Here is a 16,958-nt window from a genome sequence, read left to right as displayed (position 1 = left end):
GCAGCCACCCTGTCCGGGAGGGAGGTGGGGGGTCAGCCCCCGCCAGGCCAGCCGCCCCGTCCCGGAGGGAGGTGGGGGGGTCAGTCCCCCGCCCGGCCAGCCGCCCCGTCCCGGAGGGAGGTGGGGGGGTCAGTCCCCCGCCCGGCCAGCCGCCCCGTCCGGGAGGTGAGGGGCGCCTCTGCCCGGCCACCCCTACTGGGAAGTGAGGAGCCCCACTGCCCGGCCAGCCGCCCCGTCTGAGAGGTGTACCCAACAGCTCACTGAGAACGGGCCATGATGACAATGGCGGTTTTGTGGAATAGAAAGGGGGGAAAGGTGGGGAAGAGATTGAGAAATCGGATGGTTGCCGTGTCTGTGTAGAAAGAGGTAGACATGGGAGACTTTTCATTTTGTTCTGTACTAAGAAAAATTCTTCTGCCTTGGGATCCTGTTGATCTGTGACCTTACCCCCAACCCTCTGCTCTCTGAAACATGTGCTGTGTCCACTCAGGGTTAAATGGATTAAGGGCGGTGCAAGATGTGCTTTGTTAAACAGATGCTTGAAGGCAGCATGCTCGTTAAGAGTCATCACCACTCCCTAATCTCAAGTACCCAGGGATACAAACACTGCGGAAGGCCGCAGGGTCCTCTGCCTAGGAAAACCAGAGGCCTTTGTTCACTTGTTTATCTGCTGACCTTCCCTCCACTATTGTCCTATGACCCTGCCAAATCCCCCTCTGCGAGAAACACCCAAGAATGATCAATTAAAAAAAAAAAAAAAGTGAATATTGAAAACTGAAATAAAAAAAAAAAGAAATAACAAAAAGTTAAAAAGTTGGGGGAAGAAATTAAAAGTGTAGAGGTTTTTATTAGTTTTCTCTTTGCTTGTTGGTTAGTTTATACAATTAGTTTTTTTTTTGTTTTTGTTTTTGAGACAGAGTTTTGCTCTTGTTGCCCAGGCTGGAGTCCAATGGTGCAATCTCAGCTCACCGCAAACTCCGCCTTCCAGATTCAAGTGATTCTCCTGCTTCAGCCTCCTGAGTAGCTGGGATTATAGGCATGCGCCACCACACCTTGCTAATTTTGTATTTTTAGTAGAGATGGGGTTTCTCCATGTTGGTCAGGCTGGTCTGGAACTCCCGACCTCAGGTGATCCGCCTGCCTCGGCCTCCCAAAGTGCTGGGATTACAGGCATGAACCATTGTGCCTGGCCACAATTAGTTTTAAGTTGCCATTAGTTTAAAATAATGGGTTATAAGACATTACTTGCAAGCCTCGTGGTAACCTTAAATTAAAAATACATACACACAATGCATACACAAAAAGTAAAAAGAAAAAATTAAGATACATCACCAGAAAAAATCACCTTCACTAAAAAGAGGACAACAAGGAAAGAAAGAAGGGAGAGAAGACCACAAAACAACTAGAAAACAAATAACAAAATGGCAGGAGTAAATCTTTACTCATCAATAATAACATTGAATGTAAGTGGACTAAACTCTCCAATCAAGAGACAGAGAGTGGCTGAATGGATAAAAAAACAAGACTCAATGATTTGTGGTCTACAAGAAACATACTTCACCTAAGAAGACACACATAGACTGAAAATAAAGGGATAGAAAAAGGTATTCCATGCAAATGGAAACCAAAAAAGCAGGAGTAGCTATATTTATATCAGACAAAATAGATTTCCAGACAAAAACTATAAAAAGAGATAAAGAAGGTCATTATATAATGACAAAGGGTCAATTAAGCAGGAGCATATAACAATTACAAATATATAAGCATCCAACACTGGAGCACCCAGACATAAAAAGCAAATATTATAAGAGCTAGAGAGTCAAATAGACCCAAATATAATAATAGTTGGAGACTTCAACACCACGCTTTCAGCATTGTACAGATTATCCAGACAGAAAATCAACAAATATCAGACTTAATCTGTGCTATAGACCAAATGGACTTAATAGATATTCACCTAACATTTCGTACAATGGCTACAGAATACATATTCTTCTCAGCACATGGATTGTTCTCAAGGATAAACCATATGTTAGGCCACAAAACAAGTCTTCAAAAAATCAAAAAAATTGAAATCATATCAAGTGTCTTTTCTGACCACAGTGGAATAAAACTAGAAATCAATAACAGGAGGAACTTTGGAAACTGTACAAACACATGAAAGAAAATTAAACAATATGCTCCTGAATGACCAATGGGTCAATGAAGAAATAAAAAATTTCTTGAAACAAATGAAAATGGAAACACAACATAGCAAACCATATGGGGTACAGTCTTAAGAGAAAACTTTATAGCAATGAGCACTTACATAAAAAAGTAGCAAAACTTCAAATAAACAACCTAATTATGCATCTTAAAGCAGGGTCCCCAACCCCCTGGCCATGGACTGGTACTGGTCCGTAGCCTGTTAGGAACCAGGCTGCACAGCAGGAGGTGAGTGGCGGGTGGGCAAGTGAATACTACCACCTGAGCTCCGCCTCCTGTCAGATCAGTGGTGGCATTAGATTCTCATAGGAGCACAAACCCTACTGTTAACTGCGCATGCAAGAGATCTAGGTTGCGTGCTTTTTATGAGAATCTAATGCCTGATGTTCTGAGGTGGAATAGTTTCATCCTAAAACCATCCCCCATCACCCCCTGCTGTCCATGGAAAAATCGTCTTCCATGAAACTGGTCCCTGGTGCCAAAAAGGTTGGGAACCACTGTCGTAAAGAATTAGAAAAGCAAGAGCAAACCAAACCCAAAATTTAGAAGAAAATAAATAATATAGATCAGAGCAGAAATAAATGAAATTAAAATGAAGAAAATACAAAAGATCAATGAAACAAAAAGTTGGTTTTTTGAAAAGATCAAGAAAATTGACAAACCATTAGCCAGACTAACTAAGAAAAAAAGAGAGAAGACCCAAATAAAATCGGAGATGAAAAGGAGACATTAGAATGGATTACTGCAGAAATTCAAAGGATCATTAGAGGCTGTTACGTGCAACTATATGCCAGTAAGTTGGAAAACCTAGATGAAATGGATAAATTCCTAGATACATACAACCTACCAAGACTGAACTATGAAGAAATCTCAAACTTGAAGAGACCAATAACAAGTAATGAGATTGAAGCCGTAATAAAAACTTTCCCAGCAAAGAAAAACCTGGGACCCAATGGCTTGACTGATGAATTTTACCAAACATTTAAAGAAGGACTAATACCAATCTTACTCAAGCTATTCTGAAAAATAGAGGAGGAGAATACAAGTCCATACTCATCCTATGAGGCTGGTATTACCCTGATACCAACATCAGACAAAGATGCATCAAAAAAAGAAAACTACAGTCCAATATCCTTGATGAACATTGATATAAAAACCCTCAACAAAATACCAGTAAATTAAATTCAACAACTCATTTAAAAGATCATTTATCATGACCAAGTGGGATTTATTCTAGAGATGCAAGCATGATCCAACATATGCAAATCAATCGATGTGATATATCATATCAACAGAATTAAAGATAAAAACCATATGATCATTTCCATTGATGCTGAAAAAGCATTTGATAAAATCTAACATCCCTAAGAAAAAGAAAAAACTGGGAATAGAAGGAAGATACCTTAACACAGTAAAAGCCATATATGACAGACCCATAGCTAGTATCATACTGAACAGGGAAAAACTGAAAGCCTTTCCTCTAAGATCTGGAATAAGACCAGTGTACCCACTTTCACTACTGTTATTTAACATAGTACTGGAAGTCCTACCTAGAGCAATCAGATAAGAGAAATAAAAGGCATCCAAATTGGAAAGGAAGAAGTCAAATTATCCTTGTTTGCTGAGACAATCTTACATTTGGAAAAACCTAAAGACTTCACCACTAAACTATTACAACTAATAAACTTAGTAAAACTGTAGGATACAAAATCAACACAAAAATCAGTAGGATTTCTATATGTGAACAATGGACGATCTGAAAAAGAAATAAAGAATTAATCCCATTTACAATAGCTAAAAATAAAATAAGATTCCTACACATAAACTTAATGAAAGCAGAGAAGATGTCTACAATGAAAACTATAATACATTGATGCAAGAAATTGAACAGGACACAAAAAAATGGAACGACATTCCACGTTCATGAATTGGAAGAATCAATATTGTTAAAACATTCATACTACCCAAAGCAATCCTCAGATTTGATATAATCTCTATCAAAATACCAATGACATTCTTCACAGAAATAGAAAAATTAATCCTAAAATTTATGTGGAACTGCAAAAGACCCAGAATAGCCAAAGCCATCCTGAGCAAAACTGGAAGACTCACATTATCTGACTTCAAATTATACTACAGAGCTACAGTAATAAAAACAGCATGGCAGTTGTATAAAAACAGACACATGACCAATGGAACAGAATAAAGAACTCAGAAACAAATCCCTGCATCTACAGTGAACTCATTTTTGACAAAGGTGCCAAGACCATATGTTGGTGAAAGGACAGTCTTTTTAATAAATGATGCTGGGCAAACTGGATATCCATATGCAGAAGAATGAAACTAGACCCCTATCTCTTACCATAGAAAAAATCAAATCAAAATGGATTAAAGACCTAAATCTAAGACTTCAAATGATGAAACTACTAAAAGAAAACATCAGGGAAACTGCAGGACATTGGTCTGAGCAGAGATTTCTTAAGCAATATCCCAAAGCACAGGCAACTAAAGCCAAACTGGACAAATGGGATCACATCAAGTTAAAAACTTCTGCACAACAAAGGAAACAATCAACAAAGTGAAGAGACAACCCACAGAATGGGAGAAAATATTTGCAAACTATCCATCTGACAAGGCATTAATAATCAGAATATATAAGGAGCTCAAACAACTCTACAGGAAAAAAATCTATTAATCTGATTAAAAAAGGGCAAAAGATCTGAATAGACATTTCTCAAAAGAAGAAATACAAATGGCAAATGGGTATATGAGAAGGTTCTCAACATCACTGAGCATCAGAGAAATGCAAATCAAAACTATGATGAGATATCATCTCACCTCAGTAAAAATTGTATTTAAGCAATACACAGGCAATAATGAATGCTGGTGAGAATGTGAAAAAAAGGAACTCTTGGTGGGAATGTAAATTAGTGCAGCTATTATGGAGAAGAGTTTGGAGGTTCAACAAAAAACTAAAAATAGAGGTACCATATGATTCAAGAATCCCATTACTGGGTATTTATCCAAAGGAAATGAAATCAGCATGTTGAGGAGGTATCTGCACTCCATGTTTATTGCAGCACTGTTTACAATAGCCAAGATTTGGAAGCAACCTGTGTTCATCAATGGATGAATGGATAAAGAAAATGTGGTACACATATACAATAGAATATTATTATTATTATTATTATTGAGACAGAGTCTTGGTCTGTCGCTGAGGCTGGAGTGCAGTGGCATGATCTCAACTCACTGCAACCTCTGCCTCCTGGGTTCAAGCGATTCTCCTGCCTCAGCCTCCCAAGTAGCTGGGACTCCAGGGCACGCCGCCAAGCCCAGCTGATTTTTGGAGTTTTAGTAGAGACAGGGTTTCACCTTGTTGGCCTCGTGATCTGCCCGCCTTGGCCTCCCAAAGTGCTAGGATTACAGGCGTGAACCACCGCACGCCCTTCTTTTTTTTTTTTTTTTTGAGATGGAGTCTCGTTCTGTCATCCAGGGTGGAGTGCAGTGGCATGATCTCGGCTCACTGCAACCTCCGCCTCCCGGGTTCAAGCAAGTCTCTGCCTTAGCCTCCTGAGTAGCTGTGATTACAGGTGCCCACCACCATGCCTGCCTAATTTTTTGTATTTTTAGTGGAGACGGGGTTTCACCATCTTGGCCAGGCTGGTCTTGAACTCCTGACCTCGTGATCCACCTGTCTTGGCCTCCCAAAGTGCTGGGATTACAGGTGTGAGCCACCGCGCCCGGCCACAATGGAGTACTATTTAGCCATAAAAAAGAATGAGATCTAGTCATTTGTAACAACATGGATGGAACTAGAGGACATTATGTTAAGTGAAATAAGCCAGGAATAGACAGACAAACTTTGCAAGTTCTCACTTAATTGTGGGAGCTCAAAATTTAAAAAATTGAACTCATGGAGGCTGAGAGTAGAAGGATGGTTACTGGAGGGTGGGAAGGATAGTTGGGAGTGGGCAGAAGTGGAGATGGTTAGTGGGCACAAAAATACAGTTACATAGAATGAATATAATATTTAGTATTTGATACCACAACAGGGTGTCTATAGTCAGCAATAATTTATTGTACTTTTTTTGAGATGGAGTTTCACTCTTGTTGCCCAGGCTGGAGTGCAATGGTGCAATCTCGGCTCACTGCAACCTCCTTCTCCCGGGTTCAGGCGATTCTCCTGCCTCAGCCTCCTGAGTAGCTGGGATTACAGGTGTGTACCACCATACCCGGGTAATTTTGTATTTTTAGTGGAGACGGGGTTTTGCCATGTTGGTCAGGCTGGTCTCGAACTCCTGACCACAGGTGATCCACCTGCCTCAGCCTCCCAAAATGCTGGGATTACAGGCATGAGCCACTGTGCCCAGCCTGTACATTTTAAATAACTAAAAACTGGGCCAGATGTGGTGGCTCAAGCCTGTAATCCCAACACTTTAGGAGGCTGAGGCGGGTGGATCACCCGAGATCAGGAGTTCGTGACAAGCCTGACCAACATAGTGAAACCCCGTCTCTACTAAAAATACAAAAAAATTAGCTGGGAGTGGTGGCGCATGCCTATACCCCCAGCTACTTGGGAGGCTGAGGCAGGAGAATTGCTTGAACCTGGAAGGTGGAAGTTGCAATGAGCTGAGATCGAGCCATTGCACTCCAGCCTGTGCAAAAAGAGTGAAACTCCGTTTCAAAAAAAAAAAAACAAAAAGTACATAACGTAAAAATAAAATAAAATAACTAAAAAGCTATAATTGAAATGTTTGTAACATACAGAAATGATAAATGTTCAAGCTGATGGATACTCCATTTACTTTAATGTGATTATTACTCATTGTATGCCTGTATCAAAATATCTTATGCACCCCATAAAAATATATACCTATTATGTACTTATAACAATTAACAACTTTTTTTTTTTTCTTTCTGAGACAGAGTCTTGCTCAGTCGCCCAGGCTGGAGTGCAATGGCACAATCTTGGCTCACTGCAATCTCTGCCTCTTGGGTTCAAGTGATTCTCCGGCCTCAGCCTCCCGAGTAGCTGGGATTACAGGCACCTGCCATCATGCCCAGCTAATTTTTGTATTTTTGTAGAGATGGGGTCTTGCCATGTTGGCCAGGCTGGTCTCAAACTCCTGACCTCAGGTGATCTGCCTGCCTTGGCCTCCCAGAGTGCTGGGATTATAGGCATGAGCCAATGCACTCGGCCTCCTTAGACTCTAATTCCAGCTGTGGGGTTCTTGCCTGGACCATGTTCAGGTATAGCTTCTACACTGTTTTCTTCTTTTTCCTCTTTTTCTTTCTTTCTTTTCTTTCTTTCTTTCTTTCTTTCTTCCTTCCTTTCTTTCTCTCTTCTCTTCTCTTCTCTTCTTTTTTTTTTGAGATAGTCTTGCTCTATTGCCCAGGCTTCAGTGCAATGCTGAGATCTTGGTTCACTGCAACTTCTGCCTCCTGGGTTCAAGTGATTCTCCTGCCTCAGCCTCCTGAATAGCTGGGATTATAGGCACCTGCCACCACGCCCAGCTAATTTTTGTATTTTTGGTAGAGACAGGGTTTTGCCATGTTGGCCAGCGTGGTCTTGAACTCCTGACTTCAGGTAATTGGCCTGCCTTGGTCTCCCAAAGTGCTGGGGTTACAGGTGTGGGCCGTCACGCCCGGACATGTCTTATTTATTTTCTGATCCATCGCTTGTTGCTGCTTACCATAATCTTTTTTTTTTTTTTTTTTTTTTTTTGAGACGGAGTCTCACTCTGTCACCCAGGCTTGAGTGCAATGGCACGATCTCGGCTCACTGCAGGCTTCGCCTCCTGGGTTCAAGTGATTCTCCTGCCTCAGCCTCCTGAGTAGCTGGGATTACAGGTGCCCACCATCACACCTGGCTAATTTTTGTATTTTTATTAGAGATGGGGTTTCACCATGTTGGTGAGGCTGGTCTTGAACTCCTGACCTCGTGATCCGCCCGCCTCAGCCTCCCAAAGTGCTGGGATTACAAGCGTGAGCCACTGTGCCCAGTGCTGCTTACCATAATCTTTAACCTTAACTTATTCACCATGGTTGGGTGGTTTTCCAGTGAGAATTGGATATGGAAGAACTCTGAAAGGTCAAACTCTCAGAAAGTCAGAAACGTCAAGTCTTGCTCAAGAAGAGTTGTCTGGGTGTTGTTTAAGGCTGGATTGTGGTGCTGACATCTTTTGCTAGAATCACTGTGATAGGCCAGAATTTCATCATGACATCCCCCTATTCAGCGACATTAGGTGACTGTCTTATTGCCAGTACATAAAGTTCCAACCTCTCTTCTCAATTGGGTTCTATCCTTCCCTCCCTATCCAACCTCATCACTATCTTTCCTGCCTAAACTGCACTAGGGCTTGAAGGCACTTCAAAGAATGGAATAATTCAGCGGCCCCTTGTTGGGGAAGGGGTTGTACATTAGATTGAAAGTGTTTTAAACATGATTCAATATGCATTTTAATCTATAAATATTTTAAAACTTCACTAATAGTGAAAGAAATGCAAATCAAAACAAAATATGCCGTGGTGGACACAGAGATGTGTGTCATGGATCCCACTTCCAGGGGGAGCTTGTCTGGTTGTTAGCTCACAGCCCCCAACTGTCAGCTTCTTCAGGGCTTGCCTCAGCTTCCTGGGGTAGCCCACAACCAATGACTGATTGAAGCCATGTTACAAGGCCTGGTTATTTTGTCTTAATGCACAGCAATTCTGTTCCATCATACATACTCCGTAGCACATCCTATGGCTGAGACTTCACCAGGCCTGCACTGGCGTTCCACTTTTCCATCTGCCCAATCCTGCTTCCTTCTCCCTTCCTTCTATGGGTGTTGATTTTGAATAAATATATTGCATGCAGATCCCAAATCACTGTGCTCCTGGAGAACCCAACCTGTGTAAGGAATTTTTTTCTAAGAAATTTCATACTAACACATTAAAAAATTGACAAATCAGGCTGGGCACAGTTGCTCACACCTGTAAATCCCAACACTTTGGGAGTCCAAGGCAGGATGATCACTGATGCCAAGAGTTCAAGATCAGCCTGGGCAACAGAGTGAGATCCCTGTCTCTACAAAAAATAAAAAAAGTTAGCCAGGTATGGTGGCACCTAACTGTAGTCCAAACTACTTGGGAAGCTGAGGTGGAAGGATCACCTGAGCCCGGGAGTTCGAGGCTGCAGTGAGCCATTATTGCACCACTGCACTCCAGCCTGGGTGACAGAATGAGACCCTGTCTCAAAAAGAAAAACAAAAATTAAAATGCATCAAAAAATATGTAGCAGTGTGAGTGGGGCTTCTGGGTTAAAAATATATATGATGGAGCCATTAATGGGTAGATGAACAGGTGTGACAAAACAAGTATAATATTATGTTAATAGAATCTAGGTCATGGGTATGTGGATGGATGTTTATTGTAATTCATTCTTTTTTTTTTTTTTTTTTCCCCCGAGATGCAGTCTTGCCCTGTCGCCCAGGCTGGAGTGCAGTGGCTCGATCTTGGCTCACTGCAACCTCCACCTCCAGGATTCAAGCGATTCTCGTGCCTCAGCCTCCCGAGTAGCTGGGATTACAGGCGCACACCACCATGCCTAGCTAATTTTTTTTTTTTTTTGTATTTTCAGTAGAGACAGGGTGCCACCATGTTGGCCAGGCTGGTCTCAAACTCCTGACCTCATGATCCACCCTCCTTGGCCTCCCAAAGTTCTGGGATTACAGGCGTGAGCCACCGCACCTGGCCCCATTGTAATTCATTCTAAAGTTCTTTGAACTTTGCTGTATGTTTGAAAGTACATACAGTGGAGTGCAGTGGTGCAATCATGGCTCACTGCAAATCTAATGTAGAAGAAGATACACTGGAATGTTGACAATTATAATCTTTGGGTAGAGTGCTTATGTGTGATTAGTTTTTTTTGTTTAAACTTTTAAACATTTTCTTATTTTTCTGAATCTTATGTCACTCAGCCAATATTATTATTTTTACAATTTGACAAGTAACTCTCTAAAATTATTCATAATGGTTTTATTCATAACAAAGTAAAAACTACAAACCACCCTTATAAAAGCACCAAGTACAGAGCTGGCAGGGGCTGTAGATTTCTTTTAATCTTGGTACCTCAGTTAACACAGGAGAAGACTGAGGACAGGTGAGATAGAGAACCTGCCCAGCAAGGATCAGACAGAGAGTAGCCAGCAGAGACTGAGTTGAGGAGGACTGGAACCCCAACATCTGGCCTCTATTCTAGGGCTTTTCCTCCTGCCTCTGCTATAGTGAACATCTACTGTAGAGGCATAGTTAAGTTGCTTTTGGCATAGTGATATTGGTGTATAACTATGCAGTCATTTAAAAGGATAAATATAAAGACAATGAATAAACATAGAACAGTGTAAAATAATGACAGATTTTTTAAAAAGTAGAATATCATGGTAATAATGCTGACTACAACCATATTTTAAAAATATTTCTGTAGGCTGGGCACGGTGGCTCATGCCTATAATCCCAGCACTTTGGGAGGCTGAGGCGGGTGGATTACCTGAGGTCAGGAGTTTAAGACTAGCCTGGCCAACATGGTGAAACACCGTCTCTACAAAAATACAAAAACTAGCCGGACATGGTGGCGTGAGCCTGTAATCCCACTTATTCGGGAGGCTGAGGCAGGAGAGTTGCTTGAACCCAGGAGGCGGAGGTTGCAGTGAGCCAAGATCACGCCACTGCACTCCAACCTGGGCCACAGAGCAAGAATCTGTCTCAAAATAAATAAATAAATAAATAAATTTCTGTAGACACACTTATTTCAGTATTTATACCATTATGCTCCACTTTGAAGTCTATTGATTATATATATATTTTCAACATTTTGTTATAAAAATTTCCAAACATACAGCAAAGTAAAAAGAATTTTACAATTTTATAATGAGTTACAATGAACATCCATCTACATACCCATGACACAGATTCTATTAACATAATATCATGCTTGTTTGGTCATGTCTGTTCATCTACTCATTAATTGTTCCATCATGTATATTTTTAACCCACAAGCCCCACTCACATCACCCGTTATATTTTTTGATATATTTCAAAGTTAATTGTAGGTATCAATACACTTTCCCTAAATACTTCAGCATGTATACTACTAAGTGAAGTTTAATATTTATAGATTTTTCTTTTGATATAAAATTTATGTAAAATGAAATACACTATCTTATGTGTACATTTATCAAGTTTTGACAAATACATATATATTTGTAACCAAACTCCCAGCAAGACATGGGACATTATCATCAACTCAAAAACTTCCTTCATGTCCCTTCTCAGTCCATCTCCACCCCCACTGTCCTTGTGTATTCAGGCTGCTATAACAAAATATCACAAACTAGAGGTTTATAAACAACAGAAATTTGTCTCTTATAGTTCCAGAGGCTGGGAAGTCCAAGATCAAGGCTCTGGCAGATTCAGTGACTGGTGAGGGCCTGTTTCCTAGTTCTTAGGATGACTTTTCCTAGTTCTTAGATGACTTCTTGTTGCATCCTCACATGGTGGAAGGGGCAAGGCAGCTCTCTTGGGTCTCTCTTTTTTTTGAGACAGGGTCTCACTTTGTCACCCAGGCTGGAGTGCAGTGGCATGATCTCAGTTCACTGCAGCCTTGACCTCCCAGGTTCAAGCTATCCTCCTGCCCTAGTCCCCAAGTAGCTGGGACTATAGGAGCACACCACCACACCTGGCTAATTTTTGTACTTTTTTGTAGAGATGGGGTTTCGTCATGTTGCCCAGGCTGGTCTCGAACTCCTGAGCTCAAGTGATCCATGTCTCCCAAAGTTTTAGGATTACAGGCGTGAGCCACAATGCCAGGCTAGGTCTCTTTTCTAAGAGCCCAAATCCTATTGATGAGGGCTCCTCCTTCCTATCCTAATCACCTTCCAAAGACCCCATCTCTTAATACTATTGCATTGGTGATTAGGTTTCAACATATGAATTTTGAGGGAACACACACATTCAAGTGATAGCAGTCACCCAAAAGAAGAAACAACTGTTTTCATTTTTTCTTCTACCACAGAGTAGATTTGACTGTCCTAGAACTTCATATAAACGGAATCTTATAATGTGTTCTCTTTTGAGTAAGACTCATTTCACTCAACATAATGTTTTTGGGATGTATCAATGTTGCTGCTATATGCTGCTATATCAATAGTTTACTATTTTTTGTTGATGTGTATTTTGTTACTTTTTCTTCACTGTGTAAGTGTAGCACAGTTTATTAATTCCCTTATTGATGAATACAGTTTAGGGGAAAGAGAGGCTTTTTTTTTTTTTAAATAAACAAGGTCTCTTCCAAGGTTATTCATAATTTACAGAAGAAAAAAAAAAGAAAGAAATGAGGTCACTCTCTGTCATCCAGGCGGGAGTGCAGTAGCATAATCATAGCTCACTACGACCTTGAACTCCTGGGCTCAAGCAATCCTCCTGCCTCAGCCACTTGAATAGCTAGGACTGCAGGTGCGCACCACTACATCCAGCTAATTAAACTTTTTTTTTTTTTTTTGTAGAGACAGGGTCTTGCTAGGTTGCCCAGGCTGCTCTTAAACACCTGGCCTCCAGGGATCCTCCTGCCTCAGCTCCCCAAGTAGCTGGGGTTACAGGCAGGAGCCACCACATTTGGCTAGACAGTATTTTTTTTCCTTTGTTAAATATCTAGGAGTAGAATTGTGACATCACAGGGTAGGTGCCTGTCTAGCTTTATAAGAACATGTCAGGCCTTTTCCCAAAATACTTGTATCATTTTACAAGCCTACCAACAATGTCTGAGAGTTCTGATTTTCTATATCTGCATCACAGCTGGTGCTATCAATCTTTTTAATTGTAAGCCATTCTGATAGGTGGATAGTGGTATCTCATTTACTTTGCATTTCCCTGATGACTAATAGAAATGGCCAATAAGCACATGAAAACGTGCTCACCTTTTTATGTCTTCTTTTGAGAAACGTCTGTTTGAGTATTTCATCCAACTTTTGATTAGGTGGTTTGTCTTTTTATTACTAACTTGTAGGAAAACTTTATATTCTGCCTATACCATTCCTTCATCAACAAACGTTTTGCAAATTTCTTTCCAGCAAAGAAGATAAAACTTTTTTTCTACCTCCAGTTCCAATACTAACACCTAGATATGTTATAAATTATTTCAATAAACTTTAATAGCTGAGTTTAAATTGGAGAATCATAAGATCTCAGTTCTGATACATTGCTTAATTACTAATCCTAAGCAACTTTCTCCCACTATATAATAATTTCCTTCATGTCAGAGTCAATATCTTAGCTATTTTTTTTTCTTTCCTCATGGTAACTGGTAAGGTATTTTAAAGTCAGTAAATACTGAGTGAATATTATTTCTGTGTTGAAATCTAGTAGCATTTTTGTTACTTGAAGAACAGGAATGGACTCTTGAACTTAGTCACAGCTTAAGTGTAGACTATGACATCAGCTCTGTCATGTTGACATCCTGTGATTTGTTTGCTGTTGAGTGGTCTTCATTTAGGAAAGAGAGACAGGTGTCATATGTCCAGAGATAATTATTTCAGAGGCAACCTCTCCCTTCTCTGAACTTTTAAAACCATTACTCTCTTGGGGCACCCTGAAACATTGCTGGAGTGGAATCCGTGTTTACTCTGGTTTCTTCCTATGCTGTAAGCACTTTGAGGGCAAGGATATATCCCATTTGCACCTCAATTGCTCCCCAAACTCACCATCAGGGTCCCTTGCACATAGTGGAAGCAATAAACACTTGTTGAACAAATACATAAAGTGAAAAAAAAAATCCACACACAAAAAACACCTCAAACCAAAAAGCATAATAAACCAAGCTGGCAACAACAACAACAACAACAACAAAAATTAGCTCACAGAATATATATATATTTTTTAAGATGGAGTTTCATTCTTGTTGCCCAGGCTGGAGTGCAGTGGCGCAATCTCAGCTCACTGCAACCTCTGCCTTCCAGGTCAAGCAATTCTCCTGCCTTAGCCTCCTGAGTAGCTGGGATTACAGGCACTTGCCACCATGCCCAGATAATTTTTTGTATTTTTAGTAGAGACGGGGTTTCACCATGTTGGTCAGGCTGGTCTTGAACTCCTGACCTCAGGTGATATGCCTGCTTCGGCCTCCCAAAGTGCTGGGATTACTGGTGTGAGCCACTGCACCCAGCCTCGTTGTCTATTTTTAAGGACAATCAATGATGGCATAAGTAGCTTGAGCCTAAAATACTTGTATGCTCATTCTCCTAGTGAAGCTGACATAGGTTGTGTCACCCAGTCTCAGTCATCAAGTAGGATGTAGGACCTATGTCATCCATCAGTCCATTTAACATTCATTCACATCAAGTGTCTGTGTGGCCCTGTGATAGGCACTGACTGTAGAGAAGGGAGACAAGAAATTTTTGAAACCACTAGAGGACGATATAATACAACACAATCCACCCCGAATTTAGGCAGGGCAAATGCCAAAATTCAGAGATGGGAAGGGTGGGCAATGGAACCTGAATGACTTAGGGATGGAAGCAGGTTTTTAGCCTTTACTAAAAATTCAGTATACATTTTGCTTATTTCCTGCCTCTAGCAGATCTGCTGAATAACTCTTCCTTTTCAGAAATGCTGGCTTTACTTCTTTGCATGAATCTGGATTTTGAGAGCACCGAGGCTAGTTTATTTTCAACATAATATATGTTGGTTTGCTCTGTGTTAAACATTCTGAGTAGTTCATAACTAATTCTTTTAACTGAATTATTTTTTTGAATGTGCTTTTCTTACTTATGCACCCCTCACACTTCTGTTTTTATCACAACTCGATTTGAGTGGAAACTTTTGAGAATTTCTGTAGTTATCTTTTGATATGTCTTTCTATTTAAAAGGGAACCAAAACATTTATCTTAATTTTTACAAGTCATTAAAATTTATCTAGCTAAGTCCTCCGTGATTACAAGTTAAAATGGCTGAGTTTTATATCTCCAATGCTTAGCACAATGAAAGCTTGGCATGTAGTAGGCACTCAGTGAAAGCCTGGTGGACGTCTCATAGTAAAAGACAGAACAGGGAAAATGTCAGACAACAGCTTGCCTGTCCACAGGCCATATTAAAATGTTTATGTCCAGAGCCTTTTGTTGAGGGAAATGGACACTTCTACAGCCTCTTGCATTTGTTGACTGTATCTCTGGAGAGCCCAGCTCTGCTTCCATTACCAATTCCTGCCTCTTGTCTTTTATTGATCACCAGTGCAAATTCTTGACAGAGAAAACCTGATTGAGTTAGCAAGTAACTATAGGCTTCCTCACAGGCCTCCAGCCCAGTGGTTCTCAAATGTGAGCATAGAATCCCCTGGAAGTCTTATTATCCTTATCCATAGGTGGCCACATCCACAACCACATCACATATTCCCCGGCCTACAGCTGATGGACATCTTACCCAAGGACCGTTCACCTACAGGCTAGAGCAGTGGTTTTCAAAGTGTGGTCTCAAGATCAGAAACATCAGCATCACCTGGAAATGTATAGCAATATGGGTGATCGGACTCTGCTGGAGATCTGCCGAATTAGAACTTCTGAGGGTAGTGCATAGCAATCTGTGTGTTTTTTCTTTCTTTCTTTCTTTTTTTTTTGAGACAGAGAATCACTCTGTCATCCAGGCTGGAGTGCTGCCATGGTGCAATCTCGGCCCACTGCAACCTGTGCCTCCCAGGTTCAAGCGATTCTCCTGATCAGCCTCCTGAGTAGCTGGGATTATAGGTGCGCACCACCATGCCTGGCTAATTTTTGTATTTTTAGTAAAGATGGGATTTCACCATCTTGGTCAGGCTGGTCTCGAGACCTCAAGTGATCTGCCTGCCTTGGCCTCCCAAAGTGCTGGAATTACAGGCGTGAGCCACCACTCCCGTTGGCAATCTGTGTTTTAAGAAGCCTTCCAGGTGATTCCATGCTCACATTTGAGACCCACTGGGCTGGAGGCCTGTGAGGAAGCCTATAGTTACTTGCTAACTCAATCAGGTTTTCTCTCTCAAGAATTTGTACTGGTGATCAATAAAGGACAAGAGGCAGACAATTGATAACGGAAGCAGATCTGGGCTCTCCAGAGATGCAGTACACAAATGCAAGAGGCTGTAAAAGCCACGGACTAGCAGAAGTTATGTTAGTTGTGAGGTAGAGAAAAGATACTCAAAGTTGATATTAAAGAGGTTGGTAGCAGTGGAGCTGGAGGAGCAGAGAAAGAAAGTTGCTGAGTCACCATGATGGTGGGTCAATGAACACAGCAGCTGAAGAGTCAGCATGGTGACCTGGGTTTATTTGTTGCTACGGCAGCATTGCACCTTCCAGTTCTGGGAACGGCGTCCAGAACTGCGAGAGAATAGATTTCCATTGTTTCTCTTCAGCCTATGATATTTTGCTATGGCAGCCTGAGCTAGGGCATACTTTAGGTGGTATAATCTCATAGAAGCCTAGTCAGGTTTTTTTTTTTTTTGTGATTGTTATTTGTTTTAAATCTGACTGAAAATTTTCTTGAAGCAAGTATAGGCTCAAGTTGATTATTATTATTTTGCTTTAGAAACCAAAAACTTGTATGCATTTTTTTTTTTTTTTTTTGAGATAGAGTTTCACTCTTGTTGCCCAGGCTGGAGTGCAGTGTGGCATGATCTTGGCTCACCGAAACCTCTGTCTCCCGGGTCAAGCAACCTCTGTCTCCTGGGTTCAAGTGATTCTCCTGCCTTAGGCCTC

The 16,958-nt window shown here is 41.0% G+C and overlaps 3 annotated features.

Moving 5' to 3' along the window:
- Positions 320-1,031: an enhancer, noted in NCBI's record as "NANOG-H3K27ac hESC enhancer chr5:68357823-68358534 (GRCh37/hg19 assembly coordinates)". NCBI's record gives its function as "activates a minimal SCP1, AML or CMV promoter by ChIP-STARR-seq in naive and primed H9 embryonic stem cells {active_cell/tissue: H9 hESC(naive and primed)}" and the evidence as "EXISTENCE:reporter gene assay evidence [ECO:0000049][PMID:30033119]".
- Positions 16,393-16,537: an enhancer, noted in NCBI's record as "145 bp enhancer 182 fragment used in the MPRA reporter construct; PK_construct_3755". NCBI's record gives its function as "activates an SV40 promoter by MPRA in HepG2 and K562 cells {active_cell/tissue: HepG2 | K562}" and the evidence as "EXISTENCE:reporter gene assay evidence [ECO:0000049][PMID:23512712]".
- Positions 16,460-16,470: a transcriptional cis regulatory region, noted in NCBI's record as "NFE2L2 motif; enhancer activity is reduced when this motif is scrambled". NCBI's record gives its function as "necessary for full MPRA enhancer 182 activity {active_cell/tissue: HepG2 | K562}" and the evidence as "EXISTENCE:site-directed mutagenesis evidence [ECO:0005528][PMID:23512712]".

Source organism: Homo sapiens, chromosome 5, assembly GCF_000001405.40.
Source record: "Homo sapiens chromosome 5, GRCh38.p14 Primary Assembly".
NCBI classification, from domain to species: domain Eukaryota; kingdom Metazoa; phylum Chordata; class Mammalia; order Primates; family Hominidae; genus Homo; species Homo sapiens.
Note: the sequence above shows the minus strand (reverse complement) of the source record. Positions and strands in the feature narration are given on the sequence as shown.